Source organism: Homo sapiens, chromosome X, assembly GCF_000001405.40.
Source record: "Homo sapiens chromosome X, GRCh38.p14 Primary Assembly".
Taxonomy (NCBI): Eukaryota; Metazoa; Chordata; class Mammalia; order Primates; family Hominidae; genus Homo; species Homo sapiens.
The window spans coordinates 134,214,719-134,235,608 of NC_000023.11; positions in this window are offsets into that span (position 1 = coordinate 134,214,719).

The following is a 20,890-nucleotide window of genomic DNA, read 5'->3' on the forward strand; positions in this document are numbered from 1 at the left end:
AAAGAAATAAAAGAATATTCCATAGACAGAGCAGCTTTGAGGGCTGCTGTTTGCCATTTTTATGGTTATTTCTTAATTATATGCTGAACAAGGGGTGGATTATTCATGCCTCCCCTTTTTAGATTATATAGGGTAACTCCCTGACATTGACATAGCATTTGTAAACTGTCATGGCACTGGTGGGAGTGTAGCAGTGAGGATGACCAGAGATCACCATCTTGATTCTAGTGGATTTTAGCTGGCTTCTTTACTGTAGCCTGTTTTATTAGCAAGGTCTTTATGACCTGTATCTTGTGCCAACCTCCTATCTCATCCTGTTACTTAGAATACATTAACCATCTGGGAATGCAGCCCAGTAGGTCTCAGCTTCATTTTACCCAGCCCCTATTCAAGATGGGATTGCTCTGGTTCAAACACCTCTGACATTTCTCCCCTTCCTTTTATAAGAGAACCGTTAATCCTAAGAGTTGTAGAGAGATGAAGATTCATCTACTGTAATTTCTTCAGGCTGAATAGGGGTGATGATATTCCTGACTAACTATTAGGGTCTCTTGTATTCAGGGTAGAGAGGAGCTCAGTCAGAAAGCACCAGTATGGCAAGGGCCATTCATAACTCCGAGTTCTAACAAAAGGTATTATCTGGAAGATTAATAAGTGTTCAGTTTAAGAAAATATTCAGTAAGCTTACTGTGCATTCCTACACAGAGAGTACAACAGCAATATATACCACAAGAGTAAAGCAAGATATGTAAAATTATCCCAAGTAAGCTAAATAAGAAGGCTTTCCATGAACTGGGCAACTGTTGGAACCAAACAGATATGGAGTTCCTAGCCAATTCCAGTATGTGCCCAGAATTAGAATATTGATCCAGATTTTTGCATTACCCAACCCTCCTGTTTCTTCTGAGGTGCAGCCAGAGATCACTGGTTGGTTCACAAGAATAAGCAGGGTTAGTGTAAATTGCAAGGAAAACCTCAAAAGCAACTGATGAGACTAGAATCTAATAACAAATGTACCATAGTTCTTGAAAAATAATTTCTCTCTGCAGTTTCCCATTTTTACTAAAGACAAATCATGGTAAGACCAATTTGCTTTATTATACTTGGCCTGATTATTTGTGTCAAATGCAGCAAGAATAATTATTTTTTACATAAGCTCTTTTTAAATTGGCTTTGATGGAACTCTGTTCCATAGAAGGAATTTCAGATAAGACTTTTAAAAAGCTGGGCCCAGCCATGGATTTGTACCTTCAAGTACCTATGAGTTGGGAAAATTTCTCTCCTGTTGTGGTCCCAAGATACCTTGAGTCTCCTGGGCATGTCAGAAAGTGACATTCTTTACTTACCACAGGTCAGGAACTGTGCACAGGGACGGTGTAGACAAGGTATGAGGCCAGTTTTCCCAAGGGGCTTTTATTGGTGTTACAAGTCAAGTTTGATTCCTTAAAGAAAAGTACACCATTCTAGTCAAAGCCTTGGTAAAATAACCAGTTTCTCCAATTGTGTCCTGTTGCAAAAGAAAACAGATTCTTTTTTGTTTGTTTGTTTTTTGAGACGAAGTCTTGCTCTATCACCCAGGCTTGGCTCACTGCACCCTCCACCTCCCAGGTTCAAGCGATTCTCCTGCCTCAGCCTCCCGAGTACCTGGGACTACAGGTGCCTGCCACCACGCCCAGCTAATTTTTGTATTTTTAGTACAGACGGGGTTTCGCCATATTGGCCAGGTTGGTCTCGAACTCCTGACCTTGTGATCTGCCTGCCTCGGCCTCCCAAAGTGCTGGGATTACAGGCATGAGCCACCGCACCTGGCAAAAACAGATTCTTATTGCACTTATGCAAATAATTATGTTGCCGTAAGTTAAGAATACTCACAAGTAGTTTCCAAATTCTGGAGAAATCAGGTAGAGAGAAACAAATATGCTCCAAATTTTGTTCACAGGAGTATACTTTACTCAATTGTTAAAAGCTGTATATAGCTCAAAAGAAAAGTTTTCTTGACTCTGAAAAACAAAACAAAGGATCAGCAACATTTTAAGCAAAATCAAAAAATTTACTTCAGACTTCTACTAGTTTAGTCCATGCAGTTTACTCCTGTTCTGCTTGGTGTTCATGAACATTCCAGCTCTCCATGAGAGTCCTGAAAGTTTTTTCCTCTATTCTAATATCACAATTTCCAAAGTTATCAGAAACCTGCATTTAAGAACACCATTAGAGTTCTGTAGTTAATTATAAACCACCTTTTAAAGGAGATCAAAACAAGACAGCAATTGTCTGTGGATGACAAAAAGTCTTAGGACAACCACTATTAAAGCCACAATTGACTAGGAATTTTGGTTACTTCTGTAGCATACAACAATTTGACATAACCATGATAATTATTAATAACACACAATAAGTCGTATTAGAATTATAGGAGTTTTCCAGCTGGGCATGGTGGCTCACACCTGTAATCTCAGCACTTTGGGAGGCCGAGGCAGGCGGATCACCTGAGGTTGGGAGTTTGAGACCATCCTGGCCAGCATGGTGAAACCCTGTCTCTACTAAAACTACAAAAATTAGCTGGGCGTGGTGGCAGGTGCCTGTAATCCCAGCTACTCAGGAAAGAGGCAGGAGAATCACTTGAACCTGGGAGGTGGAGGTTGCAGTGAGCTGAGATTGCGCCATTGCACTCCAGCCTGGGCAACAGAGTGAGACTCCATCTCGAAAAAAAAAAAAAGAATTATAGGAGTTTTCCATAATTTTGGAACACATACAAGTAACATATTTATAAAAATAGAGCCCAAAGAAAGCCAAACACCATTTTATATTTGACAATGCTTCCTGTATGATTTTTTATTAGTAAGAATGATTTAATGTTGAGTGACAATGCAAGTTTATAAGCAATTCTATATATCATTTTTAAATAAAACAAGTACCTGGCCCATTACATTACATTACATTAATTTAATTGGTTCCTGCAGAAAAAAAAAGAAAGGAAAGAGGGAGGAAAGCATTGCATTATTTATCTATAATTTTATATATATTTTCTTTTTCTTTTTTTTGTTTTCTTTTCGAGATGGAGTTTCACTCTTGTTGCCCAGGCTGGAGTGGAATGGCACGGTCTCAGCTCACTGCAACCTCCGCCCCCTGGATTCAAGTGATTCTCCTGCCTCAGCTTCCTGAGTAGCTGGGATTACAGGCACACACCACCACCCCCAACTAATTTTTGTATTTTTAGTAGAGACAGGGTTTCGTCATGTTGGCCTGGCTGGTCTCGAACTCCTGACCTTAGGTGATCCACCTGCCTCAGCCTTCCAAAGTACTAGGATGACAGGCATGAACCATCACACCCAGCCAAAATCTTTTTTTTTAATATAACATGAAAATATTGTTCAAGAGAGAAAGCCAAATTTCACCCTTTGCATTAGTGTACTATCACTGTTAAACTGAATTCTTAACAAAACCTTATGGACATATTTACCCAATTTTACTGTTTGACCATAAGGTAAGACTTTCCTAAAACTTTCATAACCCTTTACAAAAATTTTTGTGAAAGGGCAGATTAGTGCTCTAAGGAAAACCTGTTGTGCTTTATTCCAATGTTCAATTTACAGAAAAACTGAATAATACACCTTTAACTTTAGCCAATACGTTCATACACAGAATCTCTTTTACAATTAATTTTTCGCAAACCTTCCACAACTTGCTTAAACATTCAGCTTTATTCTATTTAACTTAAAACAATCCTTTAACCTTTTAATCTAGGCAAAAAAAAAAATCCACGTTTCCATGACTTCTTATAATCTTTTAGCAAAAACACATTTCACTTTCTTTACACACCTCACATGTATCACTTTTATTTCCCAAAGATTACTTAATTCACATGAACTAAAAGGCATTACACTTTTTACTTTTTTCACAAAATATTTGATTTAAGTACTTATTATTTTTAAACCAGTTAATCAAAGCTATTTCATATCACTTACACAACACATGTAAATACACAGGCAGACAGAAGAAGATCCAGTAGTAGTAACATGTTTCATTTGCCAGAGTTTAAGTTTCTCTTTTTAAAGCATGCAGTTTATAGGGCCTAATAAGCAGGCACAGCTGGAAGGCAAAACAGATCTCCAGAAAATAAGGGTCCCTTTTTTATACCAGATCCTGGATCCCCAAAAGAGAGAATTAATCCATCTCCCACAGGAGGCTTATCTCTCAGTGTGGGGTGGGGGACATTTCCATATTTCCTAGGTGGCCAAGAGTGTGCTTCTCTGATCCAAATGTGCAGAACTGAGTATCTCCCCATAACTACTATTAGCCATCCCCAAAAGTATATTTCCTATCTAGTTATTACACAACAAAGTTCTCATAATGTGAAGTAATTTCTGATACCCCCCCAAAGTCAAAAACATCAGATAATGCAACGCAAACCAGAACAGAGCCTCAGATTTTGACAGGGATTTATCCACTGTTAATTCCTGGGGTTTCATGAAGAAAACAGAGGTTTTTTCCAAAATGGAGTCTGTGGCGCTCCTGTTTTTCTCAAGGAGTCCCAGGCTGTTACGGCTTGAATAACCACTTTTAATTAAGCTGACTTTTAACCATACCACTCTTTTTTTTTTAAAGTCCTTTTAAATCTTTTATTACCCAACTAGCCAGTCCAAATGGCCAATATTTCTGGCTTTTGAACTCTACAAAAAGTAACCTCACAGGTGCTCTGAGAAAAGAAATTCAAGACAGTTTGTGGAGGGGAAGAGAATAAAAAAAATGGCAAAGGTCACCCAAATATCAATCAGAAAGGCTCATCCCCTAAGCTAGGGATTGAACCCTGAACCTGGGCAGCCATTGTGATGGTGGAGACCAAGAGGAAGTACTGCCACGTGGTTACAAGGTCAGGCTTCCAAGGACATCGAAGAAGATGAGAGGAGAACCTCATCGAGTTTTTTTCCCCCCAGGAAAAAAAAAGTTTATAACTGACCAGTTTGCTGGGCCATCTTGAACAGTAGGCTTATGGGGTCCTAGGCCTGTGTTCTATCATAAGGTACCACTCTTTCTTGCAGAAAGATACAGAAAGACAAATTCATAGCACAAAGTACAACAGATTCGCTACAGCTTGAGACTAGCCTTACAAATCCTTTTTTAAATTAATCAAAACTTTACAGAGGAGATAAACCGTGATTGTTACCATTCATTCCACTGGTTCGCACAGATTGAGAGAGAGACAGGCCAGAAGTCTGACTGGTAAGAAATTCTTACCCTTTTGCTGCAATGCCAGGCTTCTGGGTTCCCTTTCCCTGAGTGGCCCTAGTGACCCAGCTGGCTGCATCACAGCCCTGGGGGCCAAGCCAAAACACAAAGGAAAATTATGTTTTTCCGTTCTGGCCAGAGCAAAATACGTCTGAAAAAACATAGACATTAGCCACTCTGCTTGGCACCCAATATCAAACCGGCAAGGCTCAAACTTGCCCCTGATTAGGCTCTGTCATCGTCAATCCAACTTCTGACTAGGAGTTTCATCATGTGGTCTCTGGGCAAGATGTCGCCCTGAGTAATAGAAAAGATAAGAAAGGGAAAGGAGAGAAAGGGAGAAAAGCATTGCCTGCAGCGGGGTGGGGAAGGCAAGCAACTCACAGAGGCCAGAGAAAAACCCACCCATTGCAGCGACACTGAAAAGTTCAGGCGGCTGCTCGTCAGTCGCGAAGGGATCTTTTCCAGCAGTCCAATCAGCTCTCAAGTTTCCCCTTTTGTGGAGGAAAAAGTCGGCCATGACCCGTGGTCCTGTACATGCCTAATTCTGTCACCCATAGTCATCAGCAAAGAGTGCAAGGCAGATTGACCCAAAGAGAATAGCAGTTAACACCCCATAGTGCCAAACCCATTCTTAGCCGAGAGGGACTTTACTGAGAGGGGCCTCTAACCCCCTAAATCATAGGAAGGGCTCTAATCTTTCTAAATTGGGCCTCAAACCCAAGTTAGGTCAGTCGTACTTGCCTTTTATTAAGAGGGGCCTTTAACCCTCTCTGTCTTAGGAGAGACTCTTAACTCCCCTAAGTTGGGCCTCAAACTCAATCCCATCCTTTACCAGGGTATATGCACCCCACTTACCCAAAGTCAGACAATTGGTGGGCGCCGATGATTTTTCTTTGGGTTGGGGGTCTCCTTAGTATCGTCCCTTCCATGGTTCACCAGAAAGATGTTACCAGACTCCATCACTTACTGTAAGTTAGCCTTTGGGTGTGTGGGTGGGGGTTCTTCTCTATTGTCCCTCCGTGGTCACCAAAAAGATGTTACCAGAAAGGGTTCCTGATCCAGACCCCAAGAAAGGGTTCTGGGATCTTGTAGAAGAGAGAATTCAAGGCGAATCCATAAGGTAAAGTGAAAGCAAGTTTATTAAGAAAGTAAAGGAAGAAAAGAATGGCTACTCCATCGATGGAGCAGCCATGAGCAAATAATTTGAATAGACATAGCTCCAAAGAAGATATACAAATGGTCAGAAAGCACATTAAAAGATGTTCATTATTATTAGTCATTAGGAAAATGTAAATCCAAACTATGAGATATCACGTCACACTCACTAGAATGGCTATCATTAAAAAAACAAAACAAAACAAAACAAAACAGTCTGGGCGAGGTGGCTCAGGCCTGTAACCCCAGCACTTTGCGAGGACGAGATGGACCGATTGCTTGAGTCCAGGAGTTCGAGAACAACCTGGGCAACATGGCGAAACCCCATCTACACACACACACACACACACACACACACACACACAAATGGCTGGGTGTGATGGCATGCACCCGTGGTCCCAGCTACTCAGGAGGCTGAGGTGGGAGGACTGCTTGAACCCAGGAGGTGGAGGTTACAGTAAGCTGAGATCGAGCCACTGCACTCCAGCCTGGGCAACAGAGCAAGACTGTGTCCCCACCCCAAAAAAAACCATAGAAAATAATAAGTGTTGGTGTAGATGTGGAGAAATTGGAACCCTCATGCATGGTTGGTGTGAATGTAAAATGGTTTAGCGCCTTTGGAAAACAGTTTGACAGTTCCTAAAAGGGAAAACGTAGAGTTACCATATAACCCAGCAATTCCCATCCTGGGTATATACCCAAGAGAACTGAAAACATATGTTCACACAAAAACTTGTACACAAATGTTTGTAGCAGCATTATTCATAATAACCAAAAAGAGGAAACAACCCAAATGTTTGTCAGTTTATGGATGAATAAAGAAAATGTGATATAGCCATACAATGGAATTTTATTCAACCATAAAAAGGAATGAAGTATTGAGACATGCTACAACTTGGATCAACCTTCAAAACATATTAAGTTAAAGCCACCAGACTAAAAGGCCACATATTTTATAATTGCATGTATATATAATGTCCAGAATAGGCAAATGAGCTCATGAATTGGATGAACCAACATAGTAAAGGTGTGAATTGTCCCCAAGTTGATATATAGGTTGAGTGCAATTCCTACAGGAATGTAAGCAAAATATTTTGTAGGCATAAATAAGATTATTCTAAAATATATGCAAAGGCAAAGGAAGTAGAATAATAAAGCAATGTTGAAAAAAATCAACTCAGAGAAATCAGTCTGTCTGATTTTAAGGCTTATATGGCTGTAGTAATCAAGATTGTATGGTTTGGGAGAAAGGATATACAAATACATCAGGGGAACAGAATGCAAAACTCAGAAATACACCAAAAAAAAAAATATATCCATCTCTTTTTTTTTTTTTTTTGACAGAGTCTCACTCTGTCACCCAGGCTGGAGTGCAATGGTATAATTTTGGCTCACTGCAACCTCCGCCTCCCAGGTTCAAGTGATTCTCCTGCCTCAGCCTCCTGAGTAGCTGGGATTACAGGCGTGCACCAACATGTCTGGCTAATTTTTGTATGTTTAGTAGAGATGGAGTTTCACCATATTGGCCAGACTGGTCTCAAACTCCTGACCTCAAGTGATCCACCCACCTCGGCCTCCCAAAGTGCTGGGATTACAGGCATGAGCCACCACGCCCACAAGATACCCATCCAATTTTTGACAAAAGAACAAAAGCAATTCAATGGAAGAAAGCCTTTTCAAGAAATGCTGCTGCAGCAATCAGATGTCCATATGCAAAACAGCAAACCTTTTTTTCCAGCTTTATGAGATATAATTGACAAGTAAAAATTGAGCCAGGCGTGGTGGCTCACGCCTTTAATCCCAGCACTTTGGGAGGCTGACATGGGCAGATTGCCTGAGCTCAGGAGTTCAAGACCAGTCTGGGAAACATGGAGAAACCCCATCTCTACTAAAAACACAAAAAATTAGCTGGGTGTGGTGCCCCGTGCCTGTAATCCCAGCTACTCAGGAGGCTGAGGCACAAGAATCGCTTGAACCCAGGAGGCAGAGGATGCAGTGAGCTGAGATTGCACCACTTCACTCCAGCGTGGGTGACAGAGTGAGACTGTCTCAAAAAAAAATTGTATTTGTTTATGGTATACAACGTGATGTTTTGATATATGTGTACATTGCAATGCAATTACCAAAATCAAGTAAATGTATTTACCCATCCTTTACTCGACTACCGTTGCATGTGTGTGTGTTGAGAACATTTAAGAACTACTCTCAGCAAATTTCAAGTATACAATACAGTATTATTAACTATAGTCACCATGCTGTACAATAGCTGTCCAGAGCTTATTCATCCTGCATAACCGAAACTTGTACTCTTTGACCAATATCTCCCCATCCCTTCCTTGAGCCCTTGGTAACCACCATTCTATTCTCTGCTTTTATGAGCTCAACTTTTTAAAATGCTACATGTAAATGAGACCATGCATACTGTCTTTCTGTGCTTGGCTTGTTTCACTTAGCATAATGTCCTTCAGGTTCATCTATGTTGCTGTAAATGACAGGATTCCTTCTTTTTTTAAGGCCCTTCACTAGTCAGCCCATCCATAAATTCTGGGTGGGCTGTCTTGTGGGCTGTGAAGGCAGGCCTTTTGCTGGAGTCGTCAGGCAGGCTGGCCCAGTGCCTGAGTCCACAGGGACTAGCCTGGTGCCTGAGTCTGCAGGGGTGGGCTTGGAATCTAAGCCCTGGGGGCAGGCCTAGATCCTGTGTCTGCAGGGCCTGGCCTCAAGCCTGGGTTCATGGGGGCTGACCTGAAGCTGGGGAAGGCTTTGAGCCTGAGTCTCTGGAGATGGCCTGGTCCTGGGGCAGTCCTGGCCCCTCCCTGAGCTCACAGGGATAGGTTTGGACCTGAGTCCCAAAGGGGCTGGCCTGGTTCCTAGGTGCATGCAGAGAGGCCTGTTCATTGGTCTGCAGAGGCAAGTCTGGAGCCTGGATCCATGGAGGCAGGCCTGGACCCTGGGGCTGCTGGAGCTTGGGGCCATAGTAGGAAGTGGAATAGCCTATAAGCTGAGGCTGCAAAGGGCTGGCCTGGCACTGGGGCAGGCCTGGAGCCTAGGTTCTCAGGGGCCAACCTGGCACCAGGGCTCCCTGGAGCAGTCCAGTCCTGGGGTCCACAGCAAACTCAGATGCTCACTTCATTCTCCTTCCCTTTGTGGAGAGTATCTCTCTCAACACTGTACTGTCTGGGTTTGGGAGAGAGGTGACATGAATAATGTGAAACTGTCTGTCCTACTCTCTTCAATGTGCCTTTTAAATTTTCTGTGCTACACTCAGGTGCTCTAATCTCTCACCTGGATTCCTTAGCTCTTATGAAGGTATATTTTGCATGGGTAGTTGTTCAAATTGACATTTCTGTAAGGGGATGAACACCAAGGACTCTTCTTCTACCATGGATGTGTTCAAAAACATGAACCTTGATGTAAGTCTTATATCTTTTATAAAAAAGTAACTAAGTCTGGGCACGGTGGCTCACACCTGTAATCCCAGCACTTTAAGAGGCCGAGGCAGGCAGACAACCTGAGGTCAGGAGTTCGAGACCAGCCTGAACAACATGGCGAAATCCCGTCTCTACTAAAAGAATATATATATGTAAAAAATTAGCCGGGTGTGGTGACACGCACCTGTAATCCCAGCTACTTGGGAGGCTGAGGCTGGAGAATTGCTTGAACCTGGGAGGCAGAAGTTGCAGTGAGCCAAGATCATGCCACTTCACTCCAGCCTGGGCAACAGAGTGAGACTCTGTCTCAAGAAAAAAAAAATTAACTAAATACCAAACATGATGATAGGGAAAAAATTAACTAAAAATGTATCATAGATTTAAATATATAGTGTGGGCTGGGTGTGGTGGCTCATGTCTTTTAGGAAAAAAAGCAGGAGAAAATCTTCGAGATCTAGGGCTAGACACTGTTCTTACACTTGTGTAAGAACAAAAGCATGATGCATAAAAGAAAAAATTGATAAATTGGACTTCATAAAAATTAAACATTTTTTGTACTCTGAAAAACTGTGTTTAGAAAATTAAAAGACAAGGTACAGACTGAGAGAAATCACACATCCAACAAAGGACTAGTACCTAGAATATATAAAGAACTCTCAAAACTCAGTAGCAAAAATTAAAACCAAAAATGATTCACATAGAAAATGGGTAAAAAGTAGGAAAAGACATTTCACTGAAGCAGATATACTAATCCTCCATAAGCACATGAAATGCTGTTCAACATTAGGGACAACCACTAGGGAAATGCAAATTAAAACCAAAAGGAGGCTGGGCACGGTGGCTCACACCTGTAATCCCAGCAATTTGGCAGCCCGAGGCAGGCGGATCACCTGAGGTCAGGAGTTCCAGACCAGCCTGGCTAACATGGTGAAACCCCATCTCTACTAAAAATACAAAAATTAGCTGGGCGTGGTGGCACACACCTGTAATCCCAGCTCCTCGGGAGGCTGAGGCACGAGAATCACTTGAACTCTGGAGGTGGAGGCTGCAGTGAGCCAAGATCATGCCACAGGTCTCCAGCCTGGGCTACAGAGAGAGACTCCGTCTTAAAAAAAAAAAAAAAAGGAGATATCACTACATGACTAGCAAAATGACTAAAATAAAAAATAGTGCCAATACCAAATGCTGAAAATGATGCAGATAAACTGGATCACTCATTCATTGCTGTTGAGAATGCAAAATGGTACAGCCACTCTGAAAAATAGTTTGACAGTTTCTTAAAAACACTAAACATGCAATCATGCAATCACCATATGACCCAGCAACTGCACTACTGGGCATTTATGCCAGACAAATGAAAACTTGTATTCATACAAAAACCGCTACACAAATATTTGTAGCAGCTTTCTTTGTAGTAGCCCCAAATGTTAAACAACCCAAATGTCCTCCAAAAGGTAAATGGGTAAACAAACTGTGGTATATATCATGGAATACTACTCAGCAATAAAAAGAAACAAACTATCCACACATGCAACAACCTGGATGAATTACCAGAGAATTATGATGAGTGAATAAAGCCAATCTCAATAGGTTACATACTTTATGATTTCATGTGCATAACTTTCTGGAAATGACAACATTATAGAAATGGAGAACAGATTAGTGATTATCAGGAGTGAAGGGGGTGTGGGAGGAAAATGAGTGTAACTATAAAAAAGCAACAGGAGGGATTCTTGTGGTGATGGAAACTGGTGGGAACTGGGTAAAGGGTACATGGGGCCAGAGGAGGTGGCTCACACCTGTAATCCCAGCACTTTAGGAGGCCAAGGCAGGTGGATCACCTAAGGTCAGGAGTTTGAGACCAGCCTGACCAACATGATGAAATCCCATCTCTACTAAAAATACAGAAATTAGCTGGGTGTGTTGGCCCATGCCTGTAATCCCAGCTACTCAGGAGGCTGAGGCAGGAGAATCACTTGAACCTGGAAGGCGGAGGTTGCAGTGAGCTGAGATCGCACCATTGCATTCCAGCCTGGGTGACAAGAGTGAAACTCCATCTCAAAAAAAAAAAAAAAAAGACACACAGGATCACTCTATGTTATTTCTTACAACTGCATGTAAATGTGCAGTTATCTCAGAATTTAAAAGTTTAATTAAGAAAAACATCAAAATTGTTTGAAGAGTAAGGACTTCTCATTGTATGACTATCTGAAGCAAGCATTTTTTCTACGCCTTGGCGAATTGTCATGGTCATTTATTTATTTATTTATTATTTTGAGACAAGGTCTTGCTCTGCTGCCCAGGCTACAGTGCAGTGGCACAATCATAGCTCACTGCAGCCTTGAACTCCTGGGCTCCAGTGAACCTCCCACTTCAGCCTTCCAAGTAGCTAGGACTACAGGCATGCGGTACCATGCCTGGGTAATATTTTTTTTAATTTTTAAAAAAATTTTTGTAGAGACAGGGTCTTGCTCTGTCGCCCAGGCTGGAGTGCAGTGGCACAATCACAGTTCTCTGCAGCCTCAACCTTGTGGGTTCAAGAGATCCTCCTGCCTCAGCCTCCTGACTAGCTGGGACTACAGGTGCATGCCATCACACCTGGCTAATTTTGAAAATTTTTTTGTAAAGACAAGGTCTATGTTACCCAGGCTGCTCTTGAACTCTTGGGCTCAAGCAATCCTCCTGCCTCAGTCTCCCAAAGTGTTGGGATTACAGGCATGAGCCATCACACCCAGCCATCATGGTCCTTTCTAAGTTTGAATCCACTTTCAACATTTTATCCTCCGTGCTTTCGATATCACTAAATGTCTCCAAAAGTTCCTTTAATGTGGAGGGATTTTTCCCCCTGGCATTACTTCTTCTTGAGCATCTTCATTCCTTTCTCCACAATCACTTTCCTCATTTATGTTGATGAGTTTTTCTTCTTTAGGTTCATCTGGTTGCATATCTAGAGTCTTTGAAATGATGTCAACATTCCCATGATCAACAATTTATTCTGTGACTCCATATATATTGTATTCAAATTTCATTTCCAATATTCTTACTTTCTATTTCTTTGTTGCAACCTCGTCTATGTTGTCCAGTTTTCTCTCTTTTTAATTGATCTTTGTAAAATGTCACTTGTGTTTATCACTGAGATTCATGGAGTCAAAACATCTACATGCTTTGTTGTCTGTGCATGAACTGAATAACAGCTGCACAATGACCAATAGCTGGCAAGCTTTGAATGAAGTGATGTGATTGGCCACTGATCATGATGCATATCTGTTATTTATGTAGTTATCTGTGAACTGATGAGCTAGCAACAAACTCTGTACTTTATGTAATTACAGTTAATATACTATGGCAACTAAAATTTGAACTGTGTTGTTGGGGGACTGGTGTTAACCAAACTGTGTAACTGAAATTTGTGCATATTGAAACCAAGCAAAGTGAGCACTACCTGTAAACATGCTTTGCTTATTAGATTCTACCTTCAAGTGATTTATATTATGCAAGAACTTTACAATATTATACTTCCATTTCTTCCCTCCCAACATTTGTGCTATTTTCTCGTATATTTTATTTTGACATATGTTATAATCTCATAAAATATCAATCATTTTTGCTTTAGACAGTTGACTATCTTTGGAGATTTAAACAATAAGAATAAAGTCCTTATACCTACCCACATATTTACCATTTTCAGTGCTTTGCATTTCTTAGTGTAGATCCATATTTTTTATCTGGTATCAATACTGAAGGACTTCCTTTAACATTTCTTGTACTGCAGGCCTTCTAATGACTAATTCTTTCAGCTTTTGCATACCTGAAAAAGTCCTTATTTTGCTTTAGTTTTGCTGGGTGAAGAAGTCTAGGCTGAAAGTTTTTTTTTTTTTAACTTTCACTTCTTAAAAGATGTTCCAGCCAGGTGCGGTGGCTCATGCCTGTAATCCCAGCATTTTGGCAGGCCGAGGTTGGCAGATCACCTGAGGTCAGGAGTTTGAGACCAGCCTGGCCAACATGGCGAAACCCAGTCTCTACCAAAAATACAAAAATTAGCTGGGCGTGCTGGCACGCACCTGTAATCCCAGTTACTCAGGGGGCTGAGACAGCAGAATCGCTTGAACCCAGGAGGCAGAGGTTGCAGTGAGCTGAGATTGCACCACCGCACTCCAGCCTGGGCGACAGAGCAAGACTCCATCTCAAAAAAAAAAAAAAAAAAAGAAAAAAGATATTGCTCCACTGTCTTCTGGCTTGCATTTTTTCTGATGAGAAATGTCTGCCCTATGTATATAATGTGTTGTTTTTTCCTCTGGCTGCCTTGAGGTTTTCTCTATCACTGATTTTAAGCAATTTGATTATCATGGGCCTTGGTGTCATTTTCTTCATATTTATTGTGCTTGGGTTTGTTGATCTTCTTATTTTTTTTATTTTTAATTTTTTAGAGACAAGTCTCCCTCCGTCACTCAGGTTGGAATGCAGTGGCACAATCATGGCTTACTCCAACCTCAAACTACTGGGCTCAAGCAATCCTTCCAGCTCAGCCTCCTGAGTAGCTGGGACTACAGGCGTGTGCCACCACGCCTGGAAAATTTATTTTTATTTTTAATTTTTGTAGAGCTAGGGTCTTACTCTATTGCTCAGGCTGATCTCAAGTGATCTTCCTACTTCAGCCTCCCAAAATGCTGGGATTACAGGTGTGAGCCACCAAGCCAGCCTGATTTTAGTAATTTTTGAATGCACAGACTTAGCACACTACCTGATGTGTTGTAGATAAATGAATAGGTATTTTCTGAATCCAACCAAATGATTTAGTAAGGCAAATCAACTATATAAATGCATCTATTTGGATTTTCAAATATTTTAATCTGTTAAACAAATATAACTTCACCTACGAGTAGCACCTTTTTCTGTGGGCTCTTACTCTCACTCAATCCCCTCCTAACTCCTGCCTTCCACTTTAAGCTCCAGTAAATCTGAAATAGTTTAAGACTTCTAACCCGTCAAGGCCAGGTGCAGTGGCTCACACCTGTAATCTCTGGACTTTGGGAGGCCGAGGCGGGCAGATCATGAGGTCAGGAGATTGAGACCATCCTGGCTAACACGGTGAAACCTCGTCTCTACTAAAAATACAAAAAATTAGCTGGACGTGGTAGCACATGCCTGTAATCCCAGCTACTCAGGAGGCTGAGGTACAAGAATCACTTGAGCCTGGGAGGCGGAGGTTGCAGTGAGCAGGGATCACGCTACTGTACTCCAGCCTGGGTGACAGAGCGAGAGAGTGAGACTCTGTCTCAAAAAAAAAAAAAAAAAGATTTCTAACCTGTCATGCTGTTTGCTGTTTCGTACTTCTGTGCCTTTACACGTGCTATTCCTTCTGCGTTTACCACCTTTGTATATGTGAACTACTATTCATCTTTCAAGACCCAGCTCAGATGATTCAACTTCCAAGGGGCTTGAGATTTCCTTGACTCAAGCCCCTTTCCCATCTGATGGACCACTCCTTCCTCTGAGCCCTCCTTAATTTGTGCATACACCCATCACTGCATTTATTACATTTGCCTATTTAAATACTTCTAGCTTTCAGTCCAATTCCAGGCACATTGAGGTGCTCAGCAAATGTTACTTGAATAAGCAGGAATTTGGAGAAATTTTTTAAAAGGAATACAGAAATTAAGAGAAAGTGATATGGGGGAGGCTGCCTTCAGTTGTTTTTAAATCGAATTTGTATTGAGGTATGCAAATAAACAAAGAAATAAAAAAGTCCGAAACTTAAGTGTACATTTCCATGATTTTTCACAAAGTAAACAAATCCACATAACCATGCCCACATCAAGAAATAGAACATTACCGGCCAGCCGTGGTGGCTCATGCCTGTAATCCCAGCACTTTGGGAGGCAGAGGCGGGTGGATCACTTGAGGTCAGGAGTTCGAGACCAGCCTGGCCAACATGGTGAAACCACGTCTCTACTAAAAATACAAAACTTAGCTGGACGTGGTGGTGCACGCCTGTAGTCCCAGCTACTCGGGAGGCTGAGGCATGAGAATCGCTTGAACCCAGGAGGCGGAGGAGGCTGCAGTGAGCCGAGATGGTGCCACTGCACTCCAGCCTGGGTGACAGAGCGAGACCCTGTCTCAAAAAAAAAAAAAAGCCAAAAGAAATAGAACATTACCATAACCCCTAAACCTGCCTTGTACTCTTTTCCAGTTACTACCCACCCCACCACAAGATAACCTTTATTACGACTTCTAACATCGGGGTAAAATTTTTTTTATTTTTATTTATTTATTTATTTTGAGACGGAGTTTCACTCTCGTTGCCCAGGCTGGATTGCAATGGCGCGATCTCGGCTCACCGCAACCTCTGCCTCCCGTGTTCAAGCAATTCTCCTGCCTCACCCTCCCGAGTAGCTGGGATTAGAGTCATGCACCACCACACCTGGCTAATTTTGTATTTTTAGTACAGACGGGGTTTCTCCATGTTGAGGCTGGTCTCGAACTCCTGACCTCAGGTGATCCGCCCACCTCGGCCTCCCAAAGTGCTGGGATTACAGGCATGAGCCACCGCACCCGGCCCCCATCAGGAGTAAATTTGTATCACAACTTCTATATTATAGGCAAGACTAGATCAAAATTTGTTACTTACAGAAGACTACTATTACTAACAGTTAAGACCTGTTGAGTACTTTCTATTTACCAAGCACTGTTCAAATTGCTTTACACGTAGTAACTAATTTATCCTTACAGCCACCCTGTGAAGTAGGTATTATAATTACTCCCGATTTATTCAGGAAGAACCTAGGATACAGAGAAGCTAAGCAGATTGCTCAAGAACATATATCAGTTAAATAGTGGAGCTGGTATTTGTACCCAGATAGTTTCCAGAGTTTGTGTGATGCAATGTATAAACATCATCAAACTGCATCTTAGCAAAATATGGCATGAATAGTTTGAAAACTATTACTATTCATCACCTGCTGTTAGAAAACGTGAATGTCAGAACAAGACATAGCTGGGATATAAGGTCTCCCTGACACTAGTGGTCAGATGCTCTCTTATGTGTCAATGCTGCATAGTCATTGAAAGACTCCAAAGCCAGACCTTCCTGAGTTCAAACCCCAGCTCCACTTACTAATTGTGTGACATTAGGCAGGTTACTTAATCTCCGTGTGCTTCAGTTTTCTCATCTGTAAAATATAGGAACAGAGAAATGAAGAGAAAGTGATATAAGGGAGGCTGTAATAATAGTACCTACATCATAAGATTGTTGTGAAGATTAAATGAAACACTCCTGGCACATGGTATGAGCTCAACTCATTAATCCATTCATCCATTCATTCATTAACTGTTCAGTGCCTACCATGTGCCGAGCAGTCTGCTTGGTGCTTAGTATATATCAGTGAACGAATCAAAGATCCCTGCCCTCTTGGAGCTTATAGTGTAGGGCAGACTGGAGGCAAGGGGTGCAGGAAGAACAGAAGATAACATAATGGAGTATGTTAGAAAATAAGTGCTATATTAAAAAAATTAGAGCATGGTAAAGAATAGTGGGAGTGCTGGAGAGGCTATAAGTTAGCAGTAGGTGTCACCAAGAAGCTAGGATTTGAACAAAGATTTGAGGGAGGTAAGGAAGTAAGATATGTGGATGTCTTGGGAAAGAGCATTCAAGGCAAAGGGAACAGGTTGAGCAAAGCCCCTAATGGTGGGAGGGTGCCTGTGTATTCTCCGAACAATAAGGCAGCCACTGTTATTGAGTGGTACCAGCAAGGGTCAAAGGAGTAGGAGAGATCAGAGAGGTATTGTGGGTATGGGTGTGGAGTTAGAGGGTTCTTGATGCAAATCCCATAGAGCCTATTACAAAGGCTTTGGCTTTTACTGTAAATCAAATAGAGAGCCTTTGTAGGCTTTTGAGCAGAGTTGTAACATGATTTGACTTAGTGTTTTGTAATGGTCTCTCTGGATACTGTGCTGAGAATAGACGCTGGGCAGGTGTTGTGGGTTGAATTGTGTCCCCCCAAAAGATATGTTCAAATCCTAACCCCCAATACCTATTAACGTGACCTTATTTAGAAATAGGGTCTTTACAGGGCCGGGCTCGGTGGCTCTCGCCTGTAATCCCAGCACTTTAGGAGGCTGAGGCAGGTGGATCATGAGGTCAGGAGTTCGAGACCAGCCTGACCAACATGGTGAAACCCCGTCTCTACTAAAAATTCAAAAATTAGCCCGGCGTGGTGGTGCGTGCCTGTAATCCCAGCTACTCAGGAGGCTGCGGCAGGAGAATCACTTGAACCTGGGAGGCGGAGGTTGCAGTGAGCTGAGATCGTGCCACTGCACTCCAGCCTGGGCAACAGAGAGTGAGACTCTGTCAAAAAAGAAAGAAAGAAAGAAGGAAAGAAAGAAAAAGAAAGAAAGAAAGAGAGAGAGAGAGAGAGAGAGAGAGAGAGAGAGAGAGAGAGAGAAAGAAAGAAAGAAAGAAAGAAAGAAAGAAAGAAAGAAAGAAAGAAAGAAAGAAAGAAAGAGAAAGAAAGGGGGTCTTTACAGATGCAATCAAGTTAAGATGAGGTCATATTGGATTAGGGTGGGCCCTAGGCCAACAACTGGCATGCTTATAAGAGGAGGAGAATTTGGGCACACAGACACACACAGAAGGAGGATGGCCATGTGAAGACACACAGACACATAGGGAGAAGACCATGGGAAGACGGAGGCAGAGATTGGAGTGATGCATCTGCAAGCCGTGCAGGGTTGAGGATTGCTGGCAACCACCAGAAGCTAGGAGAGACAGATTCTCACTCAGAGCCTCTAGAAGGAACCCACTTCAAACCACCTTAGTTTTGGGCTTCTAGGCCTCCAGAACTGTGAAAGAATAAGTGTCTGTTGCTTTAAGCCACCCAGTTTGTGATACTTCATTATGGCAGCTGTAGGAAAAGAATACAGCGGGCAAGTGTAGAAGCAGGAGGCTATTGCAAGGTCCAGTCAAAAGATGATGAGGGCCAGAGGAGGGGTGGTAAAGGCGGAAATGGTGAGAAGCTGTCAGATTCTGCTCTGTTGCCCAGGCTGGAGAAGCTGTCAGATATTAGGAAGGTACGGCCAACAGAATTTGCTGATGTATAGGATGTGGGGTGTGATAAATGTTAGCTATTATTATTATCTGCACAAATAGTTTATCCACATATAATATATGCTTATAGGCCAGGTGCAGTGGCTCACGTCTGTAATCTGAGCACTTTGGGAGGCTGAGGCGGGTGGATCACCTGAGGTCAGGAGTTTGAGACCAGCCTGGCCAACGTGGTAAAACCCCGTCTCTACTAAAAATACAAAAAATTAGACAGGTGTGGTGGCACACGCTTAAATCCCAGCTTCTTGAGAGGCTGAGGCAGGAGAACCGCTTGAACCCGGGAGGCAGAAGTTGCAGTGAGTTGAGATCACGCCACTGCACTTCAGCCTTGGCGACAGAGTGAGACCCCGTCGCAAAAAAAAAAAAAATATATATATATATAATTATATATATATATAATATTATATATATATATACACATACTTATAAATGTATATGTTTTCATTGCCCCAAATAGCCCAGGTTTGAGGCTACTGAAACTAGGATCATTTTCCAGGGCAATCAAAAGTAGCCTATTTTGCTGCATGATCCAAGAAAAAAATCACATTACTTCTCTGAGTCTCAGTCTCCCACGTGGTGAAATGAGAAGGTTGGGCTCCATTGTATGACTGTATAATTCTATTAATACAATATCAAGTGCTTTGTTGCCTTAGTATTGGTAAATCTTCCAGAGGATAGTAAACGTTTTCTGACTTACATATTTGAAAACCTATCTCCAAGTCTGCAGTAGCTTTGAATAACAAAACTCTCTGTCCTAATCGTTGTTGATCCTCTGCCATTTGATACCGATGGTACAAGGAGTGACCCACCATATTTAAAAAGATAATTACGGCAAGACCAAGGTAATCTTTGTGCCTTTTATTCACGAATATGGGGGTGGTGTGGAGTTGCTTGGTGAGAATCTGAAACTCTACCTGAAATAAAGGTTTGGAATTCTGGGTCTCAAGATTTCTGACTCCATTTTCCAGAACACACCCTGAATTATCACCATCAGTGTGTTTGTATTTATATTTTAGGAAAGTGATGAATGTATAAGGCAATATAATAATAAGAATAGCAAACAGTTGTATAGGATTTATTCTGTGTCAAGTACCGTTCTAAGGGTCTTAAAAACATTAACTCACTTGATCCTCACAACACTCATGAGTTAAGTCCAATTAGTATTCCCATTGTACAAATGAGGAAAGTGAGGCACGGAGCAATTAAGAAAGATTCCTTTATTATAAGGGATCTTACCTCCAGCAGAAATAAATGGGATCCTTTTAAAATAATTAAAACAAATGATAGGCCAGGTGCGGTGACTCATGGCTGTAATCCCAGCACTTTGGGAGGCCAAGGCGGGCGGATCACTTGAGGTCAGGAGTTCAAGTTCAGCCTGGCCAACATGGAGAAACCCTTTCTCTACTAAAAATTAAAAAATTTAAAAATGAGCCAGGCATGGTGGTGCGGGCCTGTAGTCCTAGCTACTCTGGAGGCTGGGGCAGGAGAATCACTTGAACCGGGAAGGCAGAGGTTGCAGTGAGCTGAGATCGCACCACTGCACTCTAGCCTGGGTCTGCACTCCAGACTCTGTCTCAAAAAAAAAAAAAATACATGGAAGATGCACGGCAATTTGGAGACTCAACGTCAAGGAAAGAAGTTCTGTCAGAATCCCACAAATTAATTCTGAAGGAGTCAGTCAATAATAAAACACACATTGACATTAGGACTCTTCCTACCTCCAACCCTTGTTGACTTTGGTTCTCTAAGGAGGAAAAAGGTGATTGAGAACTAGGCCTCAGGGCACCTGGAAGAAGCTTTGCCAGCTCTCAAACACCTGTTACATCCGGTTCCCAAGAAGTTTTGAAGCTTTGAAATGTATCCTGGTATTGTTCCTAAGTCACTCCCTTGCTAGGTCCTTGATAAATTAGACTGGCACGTTTAAAAAATTCTTAAACCTCCTTTCACTTGAGATCCCAAAGCCAATATTTCCTTTCAC